The sequence below is a fragment of the Homo sapiens genome, chromosome 4, assembly GCF_000001405.40.
Source record: "Homo sapiens chromosome 4, GRCh38.p14 Primary Assembly".
NCBI lineage: Eukaryota > Metazoa > Chordata > Mammalia > Primates > Hominidae > Homo > Homo sapiens.
Genome location: NC_000004.12, coordinates 174,864,255 through 174,876,262, shown reverse-complemented (window position 1 = coordinate 174,876,262; position 12,008 = coordinate 174,864,255). Strand labels below are relative to the sequence as shown.

Genomic DNA, 12,008 nt, shown 5'->3' with positions numbered 1-12,008 from the left:
AGAGATGAGTTTTCACCATGTTGGCCAGGCTGGTCTTGAACCCCTGACCTCAGGTGATCCAACACACCTCGGCCTTCCAAAGTGCTGGGATTACAGGTGTGAGCAACTGCGCCGGATCATGTATGCCTTTTTAAGTTGACTGCTTGCTAGAGCAAGGGACCTGCCATATTAATGAAACTTTTAAGGATCCAATGATATGGTGCATGCCAGGACATCAGAACTTCCTGCTACTGAAAGGTTGCAATGCTTGGCAGACATTTGCAGATTTTTGAAATAACACATACCATACTAGGGCGTACTGCTTTGATTCATTTATCAGGTGACTTAGAACACTGCCAATTTTGAGTGGGTCTAGAGCCGAAGTCAGCTTAGCAGCAGTTGTACGCTGTTGTAGAAACAGCCTTACCACTTGGGTGATATGATCTGGCAGATCCAACAAGTTATAGAGCAGGAGTCAGCAGAATGTTTCTGTAAATGGCCAGGTAGTAAATATTTTAGGCTTTGAAGGCCTTAGGGTCTTTGCTGCAATGACTACACTCTGCTGATGTAGTACAACTATTCAACGCTACCATTATCCCAAAATTATTCAACTCTGCCTTGGTAGTGCAAATGGAACCACAGACAATATGTAAACAAATAAGTGTGTCTATGTTCCAATAAAACCTTAACTACAAAACCAGGCCCTGAGTCAGATTTGTCCCGTAGGCTATAATATTCTGAGCTCTGCTGTAGAAAAGAACATTGTGTGGAGTCCTCAGAGTACTCTAATAAGAAAGTTACAGCACAGGCCACTAGGGTTTGGAATAAGACCTTCCTCTTCAGCAGGGAATTGTAAACCACTTGCAGTACAATTTCTGGATTGGGGGCCTTACTGGAAACTGAATATCTGATTGTAAGGCATCAAACGACCATATGACTAAAGCTGCCCATCATACACTAATCATTGTCAGACTCATCATGTCATAAATGTAGGCCACCTAGCAACAAACCAGTATAAATTGAAAGTGGTATATGTGGGATTAAGCCCAAGCAGATCTGGATGGCATAAGTAAATTACATAAACAAGTAGGAACCACCCCATCCACCACCTACTCTACATCAACATATCTATCTCCACCTACACCTGTGCCTTTGTGTGAAGCCCCAGTGACCAGCTAATAGAAGAATGAAAAAGGAAGAAGGAAACTAAAGCCTGGTTCACAGAAGGGTTGACTGAACACTACAACTTCACTGAGGGGTGGCCTTGAAAGACAGTGGAGAGGGGAAATCTTCTCCTTGGAAACACCTTCAGGTAGTACATGTGGTCACTAACTTTTGTAACATATTTATTAGTAAGTATTATCGTGGGCCTCTGGAAAACATCTTGAAAGTTCTGGATGAGAAGTTCAGGAGAAGGAAATCTGGGCAAGAAGCTACCAGATGGACCTGAAGTGGTGAGCATGAACTTGTTCAGCTTTAGTGAAATTTTATACTTAACATTTCTTTCACAGGTTAATGAGAAATTTCTCTAAAGTTTAGCAAAACCAAATATGAACTTTGAACTCTAGACAGCAAAAGAGGAAATGGAGTGAAAAGAAGGTTAATTTAAAAATAGTGGAATTGACCTGCTATTGATTCCTTTCTTTCTTGCTTGCTTGCTTTATTCATTAACTTATCATTTTTATGTCTGCTCTTCAGTATTAATTAGCAAGTATATTAATTCCAAGTATATATGGAGTGTCTTGTAGTGAGTGACGGGCATAAGAATAAGTACATATCAAAATAGTCAAATATATTATTAAAATTATCATAAGTGCTATGAAAGAAAACAGAATACTAAGAATAACAAGAGTAGATCACCTTAGAAACAGGTTTCTCTGAAAAGGTAACATTTAAGAAAATGTTAAGAAATATCACAAAAAATTAGAGGAAGTCAGCAGTACAAAGACTGAAATTAAAAGTTTTCAAGGAAAAGAGTAAACAAATAAAAAAGACCTTCAGGTTAGAAAGAGCTTTTCATGTTCAAGAAATAGAAAGAAGGTGAACATGATTAGTGTGCAGTGATAGATGGGAACCTTAAGAGAGGAAAGAGAGGTGGGCAGGAGAGGGAACACATCTTAGCATCATTCTGGGCACCTGTTCTCAATCAGGCAATTGCGCCCTCAAGGGGCAAAAAAAAAAATGATTCTGGTGTGGAGGGAGAATAGTTCTCTTCTTATATGTAATGCAAAGATACACATATAAAACATAAACAGACAGTAAAATTTAATAAGAGGTCATTATAAATAAAAAGTCTGAAAAGGCTCTTTAGGTGCTGAAAATGAATACTAATTTGAGAATTGCCAACTAAGGATAACACTAGTATTTTAAGAAAGAAACCTGCAAATTTCAGTGGCTTAACACAATAGAATTTTACACTATCATAACTTGTGGATATTACTTTCTCCTACTTGATGATTCAGGCACTCGGACTGTTTCTAAATTTTTGTGCAAATAGTTCCCAAGGATTCAGGGACTTCTGTTCCCAGCTCAAAATCTGGGATCTCACTCCCCGATTCTGTATTCTAGCAACTCCAACACAGATCCTACACTGTCATGATCCTGCGTTTCAGTAACTAGCAGACAACTATATGCCCTTATCTCCCCTCCCCATCCATTATATAGTTACAGCGCAGGGATAAGACATCCATGACAAAAAGCAAAACAAATATGCCACCTGAATATTCAGAGAAGGGAAGAATAAGAAAACACACCAACTCCAGTTCAAGGCAAAGGGGCAATCCTATAGGAGGGCGTCATGAAGCCCTGCTCTGGCAGGGGTGGAAGTTCCTGAGTAGACAGTAATTCTGCTCTCTGAAAGGATCATTGTTCTCTGTGAGCCTTCATTGCACTCTGCATAGATTTCCTAGTTCATGTTCCTGTTAGAGTCAGAGGTGAGGTGGATGTTGGCGTTATTCCCTCTGTGATGGCTGTGGGGCTTTACTAGCATGCTTTGTGCTTGTGTGTGTTTTGGGATCTGATAGCAGTTCAAGAACAAATATCAAAGGCTTTCTACTTCAGGGATTTTGATTTTTTTTTATTGCTACGGTTCTCCAGAGAAACAGAATTGTTAGGACATATATAGAGCGATATATACAAAAAGATTTTTTAATGAGGGATTGGCTCACATTCTTCTGGAGGCTGAGAAGTCACATGGTCTGTTGTCTGCAAGCTAGAGGCTTAGAAAAGCTGCTGGTATACTTGCAATCCAAGAACTGAATGGAGGGCCAATGATAAAAGTCCTGACTCAAGTCCTAAGGCCTGGGAATCAGGAGCACTGATGTCCAAGAGCAGAAGACAGATGTCCTGGCTGAAAAAGAGAGTGTGAATTCTTCCTTCCTTCACCTTTTTGTTCTGTTCAGGGTCTCTGTGGATTGAATGACGCCCACCTGCACTGGTGAAGGGTGATCTTTACTCAGTCTATCAAGTCAGGTTTTGATTTCCTCCTTAAATACTCTTGTAGACATCCACCTCACCTATGACTCTAACAGGAACATGAACTAGGAAATCTATGTAGAGTGCAATGAAGGCTCACAGAGAACAATGATCCTTTCAGAGAGCAGAATTACTGTCTACTCAGGAACTTCCACCCCTGCCAGAGCAGGGCTTCATGACGCCCTCCTATAGGATTGCCCCTTTGCCTTGAACTGGAGTTGGTGTGTTTTCTTATTCTTCCCTTCTCTGAATATTCAGGTGGCATATTTGTTTTGCTTTTTATCATGGATGTCTTGTCCCTGCACTGTAACTATAAAATGGATGGGAAAGGGGATAAGGGCATATAGTTGTCTGCTAGTTACTGAAACGCAGGATCATGACAGTGTAGGATCTGTGTTGGAGTTGCTAGAATACAGAATCAGGGAGTGAGATCCCAGATTTTGAGCTGGGAACAGAAGTCCCTGAATCCTTGGGAACTATTTGCACAAAAATTTAGAAACAGTCCGAGTGTCTGAATCATCAAGTAGGAGAAAGTAATATCCAGTCAAGTTGATACATACAACTAGTTATCAAATTTCCCCAGAAAAATTTCCTGTGACTTGGGGAGGCTTTTGCTTCTAATCAATGCTAAGTACCAGGAACTATATGAAAGTCCTTTGTTAGAAATAATTCTCAAGTCTGTCTTACCTCGTTTTCTCCCTTCCACACCTTTCACTCTCAACCTAATGGTGGCTATTTTGAGACCACCTAAAACACTTCACTTGAAAGGCAAAGTAAAACCTTATCTGATCTTTGCTTCTGGACTGAGTCACTTAGATTAACTGGGAAACTTTACTGGGTATTTGTTGCCCTTAACTTGTTCTCTGTCTTGTTTTACCCTTCTTGTCTGTAGATTTTCTCAATCTTGCTAAGCGGTAAATTTCTCTATTCTTTCCCATTTCAGCTATCAAAGCAGATAGTTATTGCATGAACTGTTATTTCTTAAAGTCCCATTTTACAGGGAGAGGGAGTAAAGCCAACATACACAAATGTTTTTAATTTTTAGAACAAAATTTCCCAAGAAATACAGGTACAGTAAAATCTTGGTCTGCTTTTCACATTATGGCACACAGCAATTTTATGAAATATTTGCCACATAATAAGTTATCCAACCTTCTGTCCTGAAGTGTTTACTGTTTCTTAGCCTGTTGCTCAACTACTGATAAAGTGCCACATTTGTTCATAACTAGTTGGAGTGGCATCCATCATCCAATACTATTTCTATGTTGATAGAGTAATTCTAGAAATGTGTGAAATAGTAAGTGAACAAAGGTGAATGCTCAGACAGCAGATATACTAGACCAATAGGAACAACATGTACTAGAAAAGACTCAAAACCAATGGTAGCTAGACAAGTCTTCCATTGGTCATCACATACCAGAGTAATGCTCAGAGACCTAGCAGAGCAAGACAAACTCAGAACACCTCCAATTATGGGGTTGTGAGGCTTTTAGGCCTTGAAGTTGAAGTTTATACACCATAGCAGATGAGTAAGGGAATCACCACCTGTGCTGCCTACCAAGACGTACTGGCCTATGTGTTCATCTGCAGTTGGTTCCACAGACATTTTCAGAAGGTGTGATGTGTGTGATTTCTGGCTACTCACATTTGTTAGTCTGTCATTCTTAGTCAAATTAATGCACAAACCTCCCACCATGGTAGCAAATAAACCCTACTTCAGTAAGTTAGCTTTCTAAAAAATGATTGCTGTCTTACCTAATAGAACAACCAGTTTTTCCTGTTATGCAGAGGGCTGTCAGAGAAACAACTCTTTTCATTGTGGGCTTCCATCCAATAGCAGTTTAAAAGGGGGATGGGAGGTGAGGGGAACCATACACATTTTTTCTCTGCCTTGGCCCAAATGTGGCATACATCACCTTATTAAGAATTGCGAAAGGTCTGAGGTTCTACCCTATTTGTAACTTAACAAGTTAGACTGACCCAACTTCAAGGTTGGTGGCAGAAGACATGAGACTCCTGAGTCACAGAAAAAGGGGAGTTTATTACTTTAAGCTAATTCCAGTAGCCAGTGTATCAGCATATATTTTGCACCTGTTCCCAGGTCCCCATTTCTATAAGGAGACACTAGGAGGGACAGATGATACATGCACATTTAGTGGGTTGTAGTCCACAGGAAAGAGACACTGAGCTTAAGAAACACGAATCTTTAGTAATGAGCAGGATGCATTTCTGCTTTTTGCTCTCAGAGAAACATTATCTGGGCAGTAAGCATGTGTGCTCTTTGCTCCCGTGAAGACACTATCTCTATGTAAATATGCCTTAAAAGATAGTCCAGGACAAACAGCAGTCAGTGCTTCTGCTTGTAAGACATGGAGACATCAGAGATCCATAGAGAATTGTTTCCCCAAAACAGCACTCCCTCTAATCAATATCATCTTGGTTTCTGGCAAATTTTCCCATTAGATTATGCCATGTCAACAGCTGCCCTGAATAATCTCAACAGCTACCCTGAATAATCTGACCATAAGGCTACTATCTCTAGTACTCTAAACAAGTAGATCTGGTCAATCTGCAATATTATGCTCATCCATGTCCTTCAAGGTATTTATAGAATAATTCCTATACATCAATAAGGTCTACTTTAGAAAACCAAGAAGTGTCTTTCACAAGTTTCTGCATTGAAATGGTCCATAGCATTAATCCAGCAGGATATATTTTCAATTACACAGACTAATCCTTGGCCCTCAAGGATAAAAATCTAAGGCAATCCTTACCAGTGAGTTGAGGCTGATCTGAATACCTTCCTTTTTTCTTTCTTTCTTTTCTTTTTTTTTTTTTAGACAGAGTTTTGCTCTTGTTGCCCAGGCTGGAGTACAATGGTACAATCTCGGCTCACTGCAACCTCCGCCTCCTGTGTTCAAGTGATTCTCCTGTCTCAGCTCCTGAGTAGCTGGGATTACAGGCGCATGCCACCATGCCTGGCTAACTTTTGTATTTTTAGTAGAGACTAAAAATTCATCATATCGGTCAGGCTGGTCTCAAACTCCTGACCTCAGGTGGTCTGCCCACCTCAGCCTCCCAAACTGCTGGGATTACGGGTGTGAGCCACCACACCCGGCCGACCTGAATACCTTTCAAGGGTCAGATGGCATCACTGATGACTTTAGATAAAGTTGGACACATATTTTTTACTACCCTTTCTAACTGGATGATTCCCATTTTAGGGAAACTGCCCACAGTTGTGACAATGTAATGAGTCAGTTACATTCCCAGGAAGTTCCCATGAGTAAACAAGGGTAGATACATTTGGGAGAGATCTCTACAGTTGTGTTTTGGATACATGATCTCTGGTAATGTGACCCAAATCACTCTGAACTTCCCTAATAACCACAATTAAAGTTTTTAAGCAAACATGTTTGAGTGGGAGGCAAATTAATAGCTAGCTTCTGTACAAGAAGCATAGTCTTAGGGCACAAATAGTGGCCCTAAAATGAAAGAGCTGTTTAAAATTCTTTGATCCCCTCCTCCAGGTGGGGACTATATCTTTTAGGAGCCTAGCTTGATAGGACCTCGAACATGACTTTCCAATTTGCTGATAAGCCTTAGGATTTCCTATTCATTTTGAACAACCGAGTCCAGCCATTGATTTGGAGGGACTACCTGAGAGCAGATAGTCTAACCTGTCCTGTTGACCAGGTACATCTTTGGCCACATGCAATTATCTGTCTTGCGAAGTGATTGAGTTACAACTGTACCAGTGGGTATTGGAAAGATCTTTGGAGGTGATGACAGGTGTTTCGAGTGGCAGGTTTAGGAGCTAGAGCCATCTCCTGCTGTTCCAACAGAATTATCAGTAGCATCAATGAGATTGATGATCGAACTGTGTTCAAAGCCATCTGGTGAGGAATTGTAAGACCCAGCAGTCAATAAAATTTGAGATGCTTGCAACAGTTTGTGAGAGCCTATGAGGGCATCTTTCTACATGAGACGGCTCCTTGAGTAATCTGAAAGACAAAAAAAAAAATCACTATCCTTCCTTCTTCCTACATCCTGGGTTTTGAGGTATTCCTTTCTCAGGTGATGAGGCTGTTCTCCCTTCATCATTCCTGCATTAGGTTTCCATGTTGTGTAACAAATTATTAAAAACTTAGCATCCTAAAAGAACTATCATTTATTATTTTGTTGTTACTATAGGTCAGGAATCTGTGCATGGCTTAACTGGGTCCTCTGCTAAGGGTTTCACCAGGCTACAATCCAGGTGTTACCAGGGTTGTGGTCTCATCAGAGGTTTGACAGGGGGAAAATATGCTCCCAAGGGTCCCTCGGGTTGTTGGCAGAATTTATTTCTTTATGGCTGAAAGACTGAGGCTTCAGTTTCTTATGAGAGACTATGTCAGGAACTAGACGCTCCATCCACAGTTATTGCAACTACTGTATCTCACCACATAGCATCTTGCTTTAAGGCCACCAACACAGAGAAGTTCTCTAAACTAAGTTTGCTGGAATGTTACACATCATAATGTAATCTCAGGAGTCACATCCCATCACCTTCACTGAATTATATTGGTTATAAGTCCAATGTCCAGCCCGTGATCAATGGAAAGAGATTATATGAGGGAGTATACACCAGGAGAGAGGAATCAGGGAGAACCATCCCATGATCTACCTACCATAGTCCGTAGTCTGCCCTCTGGCCCCCAATGACTCATGTCCCTTCTACCTGCAACACACATTCACTACCTTCCAAAGTTCTCAAGAGTGTCATTCATTATAGCATCAAGCTCAAAGTTCAAAATTTCATCATCTAAACCAGGTCCAGGCGCAGATGAGGCTTCTGGCTGAAATCTTTTAAGTACAGTTCCCAGGGGACAATTCCTCTCTAACTGTGGATCTGAAAAACTAAAGACAAGTTGTCAACCCCTAGAACACTAATATAAAGTGGTAAGACTAAAATAGAATAACAGCAGAAGACAGTCCCAGTCAAAAAGAAGGTAAAATGGAGGGCAGAAACAGTGGTTCAGTAGAACTTAAATACAAATAGGTAAATGTTTGTCATTTCTTAATTGCTTTTTAAGACCTGGAATTGCCCTCCATGGTATTAAGATCTACCCTATGGATTCTTCCTTTTTCATGGAAGGTAGAATTTTTGCTGCTAAGTGGTTTTATCAGCCTGCTTCCTGTAAGTACAATTTTAGAGATCTAACAACTTTCTTTCATTTTACACTCTCTCTGTCCTTTTCAGTCTATGGAGCAGTGTTTTTAATGAAATAAATTTTGCAAAAACTTTGTAGGTCTCCCATGGATTTTAAGTAGACTTTACTCGATTTGACAAAATCTACCTCCACAGATCTTTTCAAGTTAATCCATTCTCTCTTTTAACCTCCTGCTGAGATGGGTAAGGGTCAGTGCCCTTAAGCCTCCTGTAGGCCTTATGGTTTGATTAAGAGGAGCTACAATACACACCTTTAAACTCTTCAAAGGGTCTTTGTGGAACTGAAAACTTTAACTTTTTGTTTTTTTCTTAAGTTTTAGCAAGAATTAACACAGCCACATCTTTGGCTTTTTCTCTATATCAAGATTTCAGAAGTGATGTCTGAATTTTAGCATCTTTTGCCATTTTAATATGATGAGAATTTTCAAATTCATCAAGTCCTGGTTCCTCGTTCCTTTTTGCTTCACAGTTTTCTCCTCAAGTGTCTCTCTCTCTTTCTCTCTCTCTCTCTCTCTCACACACACACACACACACACACATTTTACTATAAGCAGGAGGAAGAAACCAGATGGTACCTTCAACACTTTGTTTGGAAATCTCTTTAGCTAAATAAATAAGTCTATCATTAGAAGTTCTGCTTCCCATAAACATTAGGAGACAATTTTTCCAGGCTTTCTAGCACTATATAATAAACAAGTGAGGGTCCCCAGGGACCACTCTATGGTCTGTCTGCTACAACCTTAAAGTCTCTTCCAGTAGCTATCACTGCATTTGTTTTTTTCAAATCATTCCCTACTCACATTCAGATCTTTGATCTGGAAAGCTCAAGTCTAAGAGAGACAAAGGAATTTTTATAAAACTTACAAAAACCTTCTACGGGACCCAATTTGGCTCACATGGGCCACTACTGTGGGACTTAACAAGCAGTAAACTCAACCAAGTGGTCATTTCAATATATGACCATGCATATCTAATAAGAGAATTCAAGTGTCTAAATCAGAATTAATTTTGAATCAGCTAGGTCCTGCTTTCAGTGGACTGCCACTAATAGGGTATAACATCAAGAACAGACTGGAGTTGTTGCTAGAGGAAAGAAAGAAACATCATACTTGGGAATGATTACAACAGTATCCCAAATTTTCAAAATCTGTCTACATAGCTCCCATTGCTTTTCTCCCAATCACTACCCAGGAAGCACGTGAAAGCAAATCCCTTTCTGGAGATAGCCACATTAATTTACTAGAATGCCCTTCTTTCTAAGGTACGTTGATCAGGGTGACACAAAGGATGTAGGGTTAGAAATATTTTTAAGTCAATTTTTGAAGAGGTCATTCCAATGTCCAGCAATGTTAGATGGTTATGAATAGTAGGGAGTGTGAAAAGTCTATCAAATACCTTTGTCTATGATTGAAGTGTTGATTCCAGTTGGTATCATCAGAAAACAGGCCCTTACCATGAATATCTACATAAACGAACCAGGCAGTTTGAACAGTAGCTGCAATTTGTTTCCATAGGCCACAGTTCCAAACAAGGATGTCTTTAATCTGATAGTCTGTAATGTTTAAAATGGCATTCCAAATAGCTATGTTATTTGCAACTGTTCATGAATCCATAAAATAAAATGTTTTACTAAGTGGGAGTATTGACCAGAAAGAGAGATGAGAAGAGGCTTTAGTTCTGCCTACTGGGTGGCATGACCACCTGTGCTTTTGGTTCTGTATAGTCAGTGCAGAGCTTGAACAGCCACAGAATCCCAATGAATACCCTTAGTGATCCAGGACCAGGCATTGAAGAAACTCTCTGTGCATTGTAGGCCCCATTGAGCTAGCAGTTTTGCTTTAAGCAGTGGAATGCTTCCCCCAAAAGAACAGCTGCCATTTTTTCATCTAAACAAAGATTCCAATGGGACAAGGCTGGCTGCATTCTTGAATATACCATTTATATTTAACAAGTGAGACTTGTTAGGTCATTCTCACATTGTTAGTCATTGAGTCCGAGTTGAACTACCCTAAAATGGAAGTATCAGGTTGTAGTCACAATGACTCCATAAATGAGGTGTCTAGTTTCCACAAGAGCCCAGTTGCAAGCTAATAGCTGCTTTTCCTGAGAGTCATGTCAGAGAAGTCATGAATATAAAACTCCAAGTGGCAATTGTATGTGGAAATCAGAGGCTCTGTCCCAATTTCATAGCCAAAACGACCAAGAATTCTGTATTAGTTCTCTAGGATTTCCATAACAAAGTACCAGAAACTGAGAGGCTTGCAACAACAGCAAGTTGTGTCCTCACAGCTCCGGATGGTCAAAGTCTGAAGTCAAAGTGGTGGCAGGGCCATGTTCCCTCTGAAGACTTAGGAAAGGATCCTTCCTTGCCTCTTCCTACTTTCTAGTAATTGCCAAAAAATACTTGGCTTTCCTTTGCTTGCAACTATATTACTCAAATCTCAGCCTCAGTCATCACAAGTCCTTTCTCCTTGTGTTCTCCATGTCTTCACATGGGGATCTCCCTATGTGTGTCCAAATTTCTTTCTTCCTATAAGGACACCAGATATTGGATTAAGGTCCACTCTAATTCTATGATTTCATCTTAACTTGAATACACCTGCAAAGATCCTATTTCCAAATAATGTCACATTTAAAAGTGGGGTGGCGGTCAGGCTTCAACGTACATTTTTTGGGGGGGAAACATTTCAACTCATGACAGGGCTCCAATCAGCAAAATTATCAGTCACTGAGATTTAACAATGTCATTAGGGTTTCCGTACCCCCAACGGCAGAAGGACTTCTCTACACCAGCTCCTGAAAGCATGCGCTCTGATATTATTGGGATGGGAGTTGCAAGTATTAACACATTAATTTTTACGCTATATTTAGTTGTAAAAGCAACCAAAAAAGTATATTGAGTTGGTCTAACAGGCTCACACACAAGGTCACATTAGCCTTGTTCTCCTACTGTGAACCTTATAAACCCTAGCCAAATTACATTGACTGTTTATAAGCATCTGCTCCCCTCATGGGAGTGGGTACATTGGTGACTTGTGTGCCTGATCCATCAGTCAAAAAGTTAGAATACCACTTTATTCCAAAGTTCAGTATGTATATGACCTTTGGTCCTCCTTGGAACTAAAGAAATCTTGGCTTTACCATTAATCTTGTTTATCCTTAAAGCATATTAAATTAGAATAGAGGATAAATAAGGAACTGTAGGTGAAGAGGAAGAGAGTGGTTCCATGTTCGTAAGCAAGGCACATTCAGTTTCAATTGTCAGTCACTCATGGCACAACCAAATGAACTTCTAATGCTTTCAGCATCACCAAGCTTTATACTGATAGCAAGGTATTCATTG

General features: G+C 40.1%; 1 long non-coding RNA gene across 1 annotated transcript in view; it reads right to left on the bottom strand.

Annotated features, from left to right (window-relative positions):
- Positions 1-298: 298 nt before the first annotated feature.
- LOC101928551 (uncharacterized) overlaps positions 299-12,008 on the bottom strand; it is a 44,237-nt gene continuing 32,527 nt past the window's right edge. The window contains exons 4-5 of the long non-coding RNA NR_125900.1: positions 6,228-7,457; positions 299-468 (exon numbers count right to left, since the gene is read on the bottom strand). This is a non-coding gene — a long non-coding RNA (uncharacterized LOC101928551). The remainder of the gene's footprint in view (positions 469-6,227; positions 7,458-12,008) is intronic.